This window comes from Homo sapiens, chromosome 18, assembly GCF_000001405.40.
Source record: "Homo sapiens chromosome 18, GRCh38.p14 Primary Assembly".
Lineage (NCBI taxonomy): Eukaryota > Metazoa > Chordata > Mammalia > Primates > Hominidae > Homo > Homo sapiens.
The window spans coordinates 8,726,889-8,739,480 of record NC_000018.10 but is presented as its reverse complement, the minus strand read 5'-3'; the positions used below and the strand labels follow the sequence as shown (position 1 = coordinate 8,739,480).

The 12,592-nt window shown below is 44.2% G+C and overlaps 1 protein-coding gene across 33 annotated transcripts in view, besides 1 other annotated feature; it reads right to left on the bottom strand.

The window, feature by feature from the left end:
- MTCL1 (microtubule crosslinking factor 1) overlaps nt 1-12,592 on the bottom strand; it is a 127,223-nt gene that overhangs the window by 93,298 nt on the left and 21,333 nt on the right. The gene's annotated exons all lie outside the window — the stretch shown is intronic.
- Nucleotides 8,776-9,070: an enhancer, noted in NCBI's record as "tiled region #10096; HepG2 Activating DNase matched - State 5:Enh, and K562 Activating DNase unmatched - State 5:Enh". NCBI's record gives its function as "activates a minimal TATA promoter and a strong SV40 promoter by Sharpr-MPRA in HepG2 and K562 cells {active_cell/tissue: HepG2 | K562}" and the evidence as "EXISTENCE:reporter gene assay evidence [ECO:0000049][PMID:27701403]".

Genomic DNA, 12,592 nt, shown 5'->3' with positions numbered 1-12,592 from the left:
GTAGGGTGTCTCATAAACACTGCAGATATGCACAGGAACTCTTAGGGGGAAGCGCATTCATATTCTAGCAGAAAACCTTTCTGTATTGCTTCTCTTCCACCGCGCATGCACGCCCACCCCAAACGTGCTTGGAGGGTGTGCTTTCTGGTGAAATAGGCCCCTGCCTGCTCCTGACTAGTATCCTCACCCCTGAGCATCCCATATTTCAGGGTGTTTTTTAATTTTTAATTTTTTTAGAGACAGGGTCTCACTCTGTTGCCCAGTCTGGAGTGCAGTGGTATCATCAAAGCTCACCACAGCCTGGAACTCCTGGGCTCAAGAGATCCTTCCGCCTCAGGCTCCCAAGTAGCTGAGACTATAGGTACATGTCACCACACCTGGCTAATTTTTTTAATTTTAATTTTTGTAGACGCAAGGTCTTGCTATGTTGCCCAAGCTTGTCTCGAACTTCTGGCCTCAAGCAACCCTCCCACTTTGGCCTCCCCAATTGCCTGGGATTACAGGCGTGCTCCACCATGCCTGGCCAGGATGATTTTTTTTAGATGAACAAGTGACATGCACCAAAATATACTAAGTCCAGACTTCAGGAATGTCATCTATGAGTTAAGTGGACTCTCGCTTCAACATAGCACTGGCTGCCCAAGGTTTTAATTTGTGGTTTCTTACTCTGTTGAGCCTAGTTTTCAGATGTCATAGATGCTGCAGAGTGGAAGTTAGCCAAGAAGGACTCTGTGAGCCTCCCTATCCACTCTCAAAGCAGTGCGTCCTTATCAATGCACCAGGTAGGTCTAACCTGACTTTAAAAAGCAGTTATTGGGCAAAACTGTGTTGTGGGGAGGAAAAGGAAGAGAAACTCAAAAGAAGTGTCTCTATTTTCTATTCTGAAAGCAAAAGAAATGCCACACCTTTGTTCTCCGCTAATCATATGAGGTCAACTGGACCTCCAAATCTCTCCCAAGGTCATTTTTAAATTATTGGTGTCCATTGGCCAACATCTCTGTCTCAAAATATGAAAGAGCACCACCTCAAAATCATGCTATAAACCCACAGGGCTTCACATTAAAAGTACCTACAAAAATGATTTTACAAAAGAATACAGAAATCACCTCCTTACTCATGAGTTTCCCACCACATGTAAACTGGGAATTACTATATGTAAACACATGTGTAATACCCATAAATCCAAAGAATATTAGTATATAGAGTAACTTAATAAGAATAACAAATACTGCCTTCTAGCAGATGATTAATGCATACAATTATTTTTAAAAACTGCACCAATAACCTCAAATCCCAGGTGGGAATGGGCCCCTAAGCTTTGCGGTGAGAGGAAGCCCACCCCACTGCGTAGCTACCCAACAGAAAGGAGAGGCCTCCTGGTTTGGAAATGTGAGACCAGGCAAAACTCTTTTGGAAGGAAATGATATTAGCTATGAAATTATTGACTAAACTGTTGCTTCTTAAATACTATTGAAGGAGAAATCAGAAAAATGAAAACATATGTTGATTCTTCGAGACCAACACACTCCGGCGAGACTGACATGATGGCTGCCTAAACCAAACTCACTTTTTCTCATCATGCTCACATGGCCCCATAAAGCAACAGACAGGAAAGCCAGCCCACCGGCCAACTGGAGTCATGGGTCAGATGGGCCATGACCTTGGTTTAGTAGCAGATTCTGTCCTGCAGTTGGTTATGGAGCCCCGCACGACCCCAGTTCTTGAACAGTTCTGAAAGTAGTCAAGGGCTACTTTCCCCCCATGGGTATGTCATGGGACTCGAACCCAGTGCTCTATCCTTAGCCTGCATCGTTTATAAAGCATTCCCTCAGTCATCGTCTCAGTCCTGAGGAAACTGACGGAGATCCCAGATGCCTGGCTGCCCTCGCGTTGGTCACCTGCTTGGCATCTTCGATGGTTTCTGCTCATTTCACTTGCTATCAATCAGGTTCTGAGAAGAGTTTCAAGAACATGCACCCTGATGGCCAGCCCAGACCCCATGGCCGTGACATGCCCCTCACTGCCTGGCCCAGGGTTTGTTAAAGATATAAGAAGCTGTTGGAACCAGCTGTGAATTTTAAATACAGGTACGAAGTGAGATTACCACAGGTAGCTTCTTAATGCTTTCTCTAAACCCATCCTTAAAACTCTTTAAACTTCCCTGTCTCTGTTTAAGCTATTTACTAAATGTCAAAACAGAGCCTAGTGCAAGAGCTCAAGAAAACTTTATCATGAACATCAGCTACTCTCTTAGTTTGGTTTGTTGCTTTGAAGATGAAAGTGAAGAGTGATGCCAGCGTCCTGTGTGTGAATGTCCCGTCCAGAACTTTACTGCACAGTAGAAGGGAACATGCAGAGTTACAGGCAATATCCAGTGCAGCTCATAGGAACACTGCAAAAAGGTGTCTTCTGGAGTCTTCTGGAGTCAGACATAGCAGCAAATAGCTCTTTAAATCCCCTCATGCCTCCTGAGGTTTCTACTCAGGTAGGAATATTTGCATAATAGGGCTTATCCAAGGGAACTTTAAAAATAGATGGATAGGCCGGGTGCAGTGGCTCACGCCTGTAATCCTAGCACTTTCGGAGGCCGTGGCGGGCAGATCACGAGGTCAGGAGATCGAGACCATCCTGGCTAACATGGTGAAACCCCGTCTCTACTAAAAAACTACAAAAAAATTAGCCGGGCATGGTGGTGGGCGCCTGTAGTCCCAGCTACTCGGGAGGCTGAGGCAGGAGAATGGCATGAACCCGGGAGGCAGAGCTTGCAGTGAGCCAAGATCCAGCCACTGCACTCCAGCCTGGGCGACAGAGCGAGACTCCATCTCAAAAAAAAAAAAAAAAAAAATACATGGATATAGAAGGCCCCCAATGTATGATGGTTCCAGGTATAACTTTTCAACATTACTGGTAGAAACCCGACTTCAAATACCTGTACAATCATTCTGTTTTTCACTTTCAGCACAGTATTGCAATAAATACATGAGACACTCAACACTTTATTATAAAACAGGCTTTGTGTTAGAAGATTTTGCCCAACTGTAGGCTAATGTAAGTATTCTGAGTATGTTTAAGGCAGGCGAGGCTGAGCTATGACATTCAGTAGGCTAAGTGTATTAAATGCATTTTTGACTTAATATAGTTTCAACTTACAATGGGTTTATCGGATGTAACCCCATGATAAGTCAAGGAGCATCTACACATACCGTATTTCACTGATTTTAAGATGCATGATGTCACATTTTAACATCTCTGAAATCAGGCTGCATGTTATGATCTATGGCATGTCATCATGTAATTGGCAGCATGTTTTACTTTCTCCTAATGGTGTACCTTTCAATCAATGGCAGAGCAGGTGAAATACGATTTGTCCATGGAAGCAGCTATACCCCGGCTGCTTATGTGACACAGGATTAAAAAGTGAGGAGAAGGACTTAATTATTTGTCTTCTTTATTTCCTACACACACAGCCTTAATATATGATAGTAGGCAAATTTATACATTTCACACAAATACTGCTGAATTTCCCCATTTCTTTTCAGAAAAGGAAAAGATATTTTGGTTAAAAAAAATATATATAAAGCATTTGTTCTGTCCCCTACAGTCAATGGCTCCTACTGGCACAAGGTCCTGTCTGCCATTCACAAGTTGTATGACCGGGGGCACGCCACCTACTCTCCCTGAGCTCTGAGTTTCTCAAGGGGAGGTGTGCCCTGACACTGAGTTGCTTTGAGCATCGGGAAACACTCAGCCCGTGGCTCTCAGCGGGCCTTCACTCATTCAGCTCACACGCTCTATCTCCTGCTTTCATTCAACTTCCACCCCTACCTCCATGCCCACCCCCCAACTAGAGGAATTTCCAGAAGTAATGCACAGAGTAAGCCTGCCCAGGCTGGCAAACTCCCCTGAACCTCCTCCTTTACAGAAAATGTGTTCTACCACCCCTAGAGCAGCAGGGATCAAATGAAACCCGGCCTTTGAAGGGGATGGCTTGAAAAAGGCAGCCAGGAAGGACAGGTCAGAGACCACCCACATTCCGGCAAGGGTTCCTGTCCTGTTAGATTCCATCTGCCAGTGACCCAGAGGACAGAGCCACACAGATTCAGTGCCATTTTTCACAACAGCCAGAACAGTGTGCTCTTTAGCTGAGCTAAAGGGGAAGAGGACAGAGGAGAAAAGAAACTGAAGGTGGCAGAGGAGTGGAGTAGAACTGATGAGTGGCAGGTTCAAATCCACCATAGACAAAGGCCACCTTCATGCATATGCTAGAATCTGACCTTGGATTTGCTTTAGGAAAACTGTAACAGGAAACCATACAGTTATTGTCCTTTACAACTTCTGTAGTCCTGGAAATATAAAACTCATGACTGTGAACTTATTAACTTATTAGAGTAATTATATATCCTAGCTAAATTGGGGCCTTGGCTTTGATGGACAGAGGTCATTTGTCCAAACAAGTGACTCCGAAGCCTCATGTTCACAAAACGCCAGTTTGGGAAACTCCTACATTTACCCTTCATTAATCTGACCAACTCCCAGACCCTCTCCTGGTGGAAAATTGTTAAGTTTCTGTAAAGGAGATGCTGCAGGCACACTGCTGCTGACCTGAAACCACCAGGGAAGTTCTAAAAACCACAGATGCCTGGGTCACCACCCCCAGGGTCTGATGTAGGGGCCAGGGTGTAGCTTGGGCAGCAGGATTCTTAAAAGCTCCGCAGGGATGCTACCGTGCAGCCAGGGCCTGGCATCACCAGCTAAAGGGCTTGATCCCAGGCACGCACTGTACAATCTTTCACCACCTCAGTAAAAGTGACGGCACAAGAAACCACTTGTCAAAACCTGCTCCTGGCACTGCCGCCCTCTAATCTTCCCACAGAGAAGGGCCCAAACATCTAGAGTCACTTAAAAGGGTGTTTTGCAAAAGGTTGAGAGCAAAGGTGAACATGGGTATCACCTTCTACCCATCTCATCAATCAGCTAGAAAATGCAGGGTACCCTTCAGAAAATACATAATGAGCCAAGCTGGAGACTTCACGGGGATGGCTCCGGAGCAGGGTGTGACCTGAGACAGTAAGAAGGGAGACAAGAGAGTTTTCCTAAGGTGCTAGAACAAACCTTGTGCAGCCAACCCACAATCTTGTCAAACAAATCCTTCAAGACAGTTGAAATCCTTCAACACAAAGTACTCAGGGTCAAGCGATGACTCTTCCCTCCAAAGCTTCAACGGAGTTGGAGGAGGAAAAGAGTTCTTGATTGCCACAAATTGGGGAGGGGGGGTGCTACCAGCATCTAGTGGGCAGAGGCTAGGAACACCGTTAAGCATCCTGCAGTCCACAGGATAGTCCCCACAACGAAGCAGGACCCAGTCTAAAACGACAGCAGAGAAACCCTGCTCCAAGCAGATTACTCAAGTGATTCCTCTAGCAACCCTCACCTGTAATGTTTCCACGAGGGTTAGATGACAACTGGGCCTTATTACTTAGGTGACCCTGTGAGTAACCTCGTTTACAAATAAGTTCAAAATAATGTTTATGGCTCTTTCTCAAGGGAAGATAAAAACGACATATCCAAACCCAAACCAAGATTCCTACACATGAGAACCCTTGGAAACAAACAAGAAACTCTGAGTGTTACTTCAAGATTGAAAAGTAAAAACGGCCTGGCCAAGCCCCACCACTGACCCAGCCAGCTGGCCGGCCCACTCCCACCTGCGAGGACGCTCCTGTAGCCTCCTCAGTGCCAATGCTTGAGGTTCTCAATCATTAACAGGATACTAACGGCCAAGCACAGTGGCTCACGCCTGTAATCCCAGCACTTTGAGAGGCCGAGGTGGGTGGATCACTTGAAGTCAGGAGTTCAAGACCAGCCTGGCCAACATGGTGAAACCCCATCTCTACTAAAAATACAAAAATTAGCCAGGTGTGGTGGCAGGCATCTGTAATCTCAGCTACCGGGAAGGCCAAGGCAGGAGAATCGCTTGAACCCAGGAGGCAAAGGTTGCAGTGAGGCAAGATCACGCCACTTCACTCCAGCCTGAGCGACAGAGACTCCCTCTCAAAAACAAACAAACAAACAAACAAAAAATGAGGCCGACACAGATACAGACAGGCACTTGTGAAAAACCATATCATCTTCAAATTTTAATGTTTCCTATAGTTTACAGAAACAATACATGGAGGATTTTTCAGCAGTGATTTTGTTTCTCTCATTTATGAAAAAAAGCTTTACTAATGCCCATGAATAAACACAGAAGATCAAACACTCCCCGGCCTCGTCTCACCTCAGCCCCCGAGGTGGTCTGACAGTCCCGAGGGCTGCCCTGCGCCCTGGCTCCCAGGCACTGCGTCCTCAGCTCTCACCTTCCTCCCCCCTGCCAGGAGAGATGAGCCACGTGTGATGCGAAAACAACTGGCAACGGTCTACCCGCAACTGTTGAGTGCTAAACAGTACACAGATAGATGTCTGATCAATGAACACGGCTTTGCCTGGGCAACCAGAGCACATCCGCACCCAAAGATGAACAGTGTCTACGTTCAAATGCCAACTGCCTGATGAATGCCCTCCCCATTTCCTGCTCCCCTTGTCCCAGGAACACTGCTGAAGGTCACACGAAAGCATATCTACGATGCAAGGAACAAACACACACCTAACTGCCCCCACCCCCAACATTCTTTCAGGGGAGAATAACCACCCTGTACAAACAGCCATGGGGAGCGGCACCCTGCCAGCACCTGGGGTCCATCCTCTCTCTGGGGCTTATTCTCAGGTCAGAATTCAAGTGCTGCCTGATTACCTGCCCAACAGGGAGACATTCAGTTGGGCTGTGTAACTATGTATGGGTGACTCGGCGTCTTTTCAATGCGAATGATTTTTTATTACCAGGGAGAAAAAAACAACACAACTTGCTTATTTGGCTCATAATCATACCATTTCAACGTACGATGGCTCACTTGAGTCTGAGCAACACCAAGAAACAGCACTCAGGCCGTAGAGAATCCTATGGAGTATTTTCTAAGCATTTCTATTTCTCTGACTCTTGATTCTGCACTTGAAGATAAAAGTTACCTAAATTAGCCAAACACGGCAGCTCACCCCTGTAATCCCAAAACTTTGGGAAACTGAGGTGGGAGGATTGTTTGAGCTCAGGAGTTTGAGACTAGCCTGGGCAACATGATGAGACCCAGTCTCTACTAAAAAATAAATAAATAAATAAATTTAAAAAATCAAAAAAATTAGCCGGGTGTGGTGGCACACGCCTGTAGTCTCAGCTACTCGGGAGGGTGAGGCAGGAAGATCCCTTGAGCCCAAGAGGTCAAGGCTGCAGTGAGCCATGATCCCTGGGCAACAGAGCGAGACCCTGTCTCAAAAAAAATGAAGATTAAAAGAATAAAGTTACCTAAATTATATTACATCAATAACATGACTTGTAGCATATAAATTCAACAGACCCCAAGAGAATCAAATACAAATTTTGAGGCGGGACACAGTGGCTCACGCCTGTAATCCCAGCACTTTGGGAGGCTGAGACAGGTGGATCACTTGAGGTTAGGAGTTCAAGACCAGCCTGGACAACATAATGAAACCCCGTCTCTACTGAAAATACAAAAATTAGCCAGGTGTGGTGGTGCACACCTGTAATCCCAGCTACTCAGGAGACTGAGGCAGGAGAATCACTTGAACCTGGGAGGCAGAGGTTGCAGTGAGCTGAGATCACACCACTGCACTCCAGCCTGGGTGACAGGGTGGGACTCTGTCTCAAAAAAAAATTTTTTTTTTGAGAAGAGCAGTAGTTTCTATTTTTCCCATAGCACAGACAATGCTACAAATTTGATGCAGTTTACTGCCTAGTGAAAGTCTAAATTATTCAGAAATATGTGCTGTCTATATTTTAATTATTATTTTTTTTCTTGAGACGAAGTCTCGCTCTTGCCCCCCAGGCTGGAGTGCGATGACGCGATCTTGGCTCACTGCAACCTCTGCCTCCCAGGTTCAAGCGATTCTCTTGCCTCGGCCTCCTGAGTAGCTGGGATTACAGACGCCTGCCACCATGCCTGGCTAATTTTTGTATTTTTAGTACAGACGGGGTTTCACCATGTTGGCTAGGCTGGTCTTGAACTCCTGACCTCAGGTGATCTGCCCGCCTCGGCCTCCTAAAGTACTGGGATTAGAGGCATGAACCATCGTGCCCAGCCTATTTTAATTATCATTATTATTATTTTTTACTTTTTTATCTTTTTTTGAGATGGAGTCTTGCTCTGTCGCCCAGGCTGGAGTGCAGTGGCACAATCTTGGCTCACTGCAAGCTCTGACTCCCGGGTTCACGCCATTCTCCTGCCTCAGCCTCCCGAGTAGCTATGACTACAGGCGCCCGCCACCACGGCCGGCTAATTTTTTGTATTTTTAGTAGAGATGGGGTTTCACCGTGTTAGCCAGGATGGTCTTGATCTCCTGACCTCGTGATCCGCCCACCTCGGCCTCCCCAAAGTGCTGGGAAAACAGACGTGAGCCACCGCACCCAGCCAATTATTTTTAAGAAAAGCAGCAAGCACAGTGTCTGTTTCACTACAAGTCAGAGGTTCCATTCTAACGTGTAGGTAAAATGCTGAAACGCCCTGCACATTATCAGAGATTCCCATCTTCCAAGAAAGGCTGTCTTAGAGAAGGAGAGAAATAGATGGATCTTCAATCTCTCAGGAAGTCTGCAAAGTAATGTTCACACAGCATCGCTGCGTCCAAGGTAGCCATCCCAAGGGTGCCATAATCTGCCCTAAAAGGTCCCCCGGAGCCTGCAGTGCTGTGGGCGAGACTGCACAGGAAATAAAAAGAAGGCAGCTGTACAGCGCACAGGGGACAAGCCGGCGTTGTCCAAGCCCAGCGAGGAGCCTGGCTGACGTTCAGGAAGTTGATGAACAGAAGCGGCTTCGCTTATCACTAACCAAACAGGCCAATTTCATGACTCACAGTCATTGTCAAAAAACTTGACCTACAGTGGAATTACTGGCCTTTATTAACTATCCTTAGGTAATGATATAAAGAATCAGAAATTCCTCAGCAAGAGATTTTTAAATAATGTTTTGGCTCTTTCTCAAGGGAAAAATAAAGATGATAAAACCTTCACCCATGGAACAAATATTTATCCAGCGTTTCATAAGGACGGGGCTGTGTAGAGAGACACAGACATACCAAAAGGCAAAGAGGTGAGTGGGCCAAAATGCCATTGAGGGATCAAATGGGATTCGGATCTGCTGGCTGGCACGGACTCCGCACCAAGAAAGCACTTTCAGGACATATATAGCTAAGTGATCAAGGCTGGGTGGCTCTGGCAGAGATCAATGGAACAGAGCAGAGAACCCAGAAACAGACCCAAACACATGTGCCCAACTGATTTTTGACAACAATGCAAAAGTAATTCGATGGAGGAAAGGTGGCCTTTTCAACAGACGGTGCCAGAGTAACTGGGTGTTCACAGGCCAAAAAAATGAAGCTTGACCTAAGTTTCATAGCATATACAAAAATTAATTCAAAATGGATCACAGACATACATGTGCAATGTAAAACAATAAAACTTTCCAAAAAATACATAGGAGAAAATATTCAGGATGTAGGGTTAGGCACAGAGCTTTTAAAATTGATACCACAAAAGGAATCATTCTTAAATTGGGCTTCATAAACTAAAAACTTTTGCCCTGAGAAAACCTTGTAAGAGGATGAGAAGACAAGCTACGGAGTAAGAGAAAATATTTGCAAACCATATATATATATATATATATATATATATATATATATATATATATATATATATATATATATTTGTCTTCTTGGGAAGCCAAAGTGAGAGGATCACTTGAGTCCAGGAGTTTGAGACAGCCTGAGCAACACTGTGAGACCTCATCTCTACAAAAGATTTTCTACAGTCAGCTGGGTGCGGTGGCGTATAACTCTAGTCCTAGTTACTCAGAAGGCTGAGGCAGAGGATCCCTTGAGCCCCAGAGTTCAAGGTGGCAGTACATCACGAGTATACCACTGTACTCCAATCTGGGTGACAGAGGGAGACCCTGTCTCTAAAAAAATTTTAATTAATTAACTTAATGTACAAAGAACTCTCAAAACTCAACAATGAAAAAAAATATATAACAGGCAGGCCTTAAGCCTGTAATCCCAGCACTTTGGGAGGCTAAGGCAGGAGGATCCCTTGAGGCCAGGAGTTTGAGACCAGACTGAGCAAAATGGCAAAACCCTGTCTCTCCAAAAAATACGGAAATTAGCTGGGCATGTGGCACTAGCCTAGCTACTCGGGGCCGGGGGTGGGGGTGGAAAGTGCTTAGGCGAGAGGACTGCTTGAGCCCAAGGAGGTCCAGGCTGCCTTGAGCTGTGATCACACCACTGGACTCCAGCCTGGGAGACAGCAAGACCTTGTCTCAAAAAACAGTACAATAAGCAAGCAATCCAGCTGGGCGTGGTGGCTCACATCTATAATCCCAGCACTTTGGGAGGCTGAGGTGGGTGGATCACCTGAGGTCAGGAGTTTGAGACCAGCCTGGCCAACATGGTGAAACCCTTGTTTCTTCTAAAACAAAAAGAAAAAGCTGGGCATGGTGGCGTGCACCTGTAATCCCAGCTACTCGGGAGGCTGCGGCAGGAGAATCGCTTGAACTCGGGAGGCGGAGGTTGCAGCGAGCCGAGATCAATCACGCCACTGCACTCCAGCCTGGGCGACAGAGCGAGACTCCGTCTCAAAAAAAAAAAAAAAAAAAAAAAAAAAAGAATGGACAACATAAGAAGGCCCCACATGGGACTAGCAGAAGTTTTAGAAAGAATACAGGTGATGAAAGGAAATACAATTCAGAGAAAATTTCACTATCGAACACTATTCGGAGTGAGAATTCTCCAGATTTCATGACAGACTTAATCAGACTGACGGTGAATGCTGAGCAAAATAAGAATAAATCTAGATAAAGTGGACTGAAACTATAGAATACCAAACACAAAAAGAAAAGTATAAGAGTCATCAGGAAGACAGATTAGCTTCAAAAATAAAAATTATGCTGACAGCAGACCTCTCTACAGCAAAATGAGCCAAAAGATAATAAAATATTATCTTCAAAGTGTTGGAATTCCACACCCAACTAAATAGATTTCAAGACAATATGAAATGAAAGCAATACTGCTAACTGAAAAAAACTGCTGAAGGATGTATTAAAAGATCAGCAAGAAGGAAACTGAACTCAGAGAAGTAACACTCAAGAAGCAATGATAAGTAAACAAATAGGCAATTAAATTAACTGTAAATTAATCTAAACAAGCATTAGCTATTAAATAAGTTTTTAAAAGGTCATTTTAAAAAGATGAAACTAAAATGATACTAAAACATATGAAAGACAAGATTTGATTAAAGTTGAAGCTTTCTAAGATGGCTGTATTCTTCAGGAGGAGAATACAGCTAATGATTAGTTTTAAACTTCAATTCAAACATGCATGTTAAACATGTGAGTGATCATTAAAATCACAGAAATAGAATGTATAACTTCCCAACTAAGACACAGAATTAAAAACTCAAAGAGAAGTCAAAGAAAGAGAGAGAGAGAGAGGGAGGGAGGGAGGGAAGCAGGGAGAGAGAGAGAGAGAGAGAGAAGGAGCAAGCAGGGAAAATAAAGAACATAAAATGCAATGACAGAAATAAACTCAAACCATCAGTAGCCACAATGCTTATATATGCATTAAATTTATCAGTTTAAAAAAGAGAGAGTCTCAGATCCCATTTTTAAAAAATGTAGCTACATTCTGTTCAGAAGAAATACACTGAAAACATAATGACATAGAAAAATGAAACTAAAGAAACCATAGAAAAGCTATCCCAGGCCATGCAAAGGACATGAACAGACATTTCTCAATTGAAGACATGTACCTGGTCAAGAAACATGAAGAAATGCTCCACATCACTAATCATCAGAGAAATGCAAATTAAAACCACAATGAGATATCATCAAACACCGGTCAGAATGGCTGTTATTAAAACATCAAAAAACAGCAGATGTTGGCATGGATATGGAGAAAAAGGAACTCTTATACACTGTTAGTAGGAATGTAAATTAGTACAGCTCTATGGAAAACAGTATAGGGAATTCTCAAAGTAGTAAAAATAGAACTACCATTCAACCCAGCAATCTCATTAATGTGCATCTACCCAAAAGAAATTATATTAAAAAAATACCTACACTCATGTGTTTATTGAAGCAATATGCACAATAGCAAAATCATGGAATCAACCTAAGTATCCATCAATAGACGATTAGATAAAGAAAGTGTGGTATATATACACCATGGAATACTACGCAGCAATAAAAAAGAATGAAACCCTGTCTTTCGCAGCAACATGGATGGAGCTGGAGGCCATTATCCTAAGTCAAATAACTCAGACACAGAAAATCCAATACTGCATGTTCTCACTTACAATTGAGAGCTAAACAATGGGTAAACATAGACACAAAGATGTAAATAATAGACACTGGGGAGTCCTTAAGCGGGGAGAATGGGCGGGATGGTGGTGAGGGTTTAAACAAATTATCTACTGAGTACAGTCACCGTTCGGGTGGTG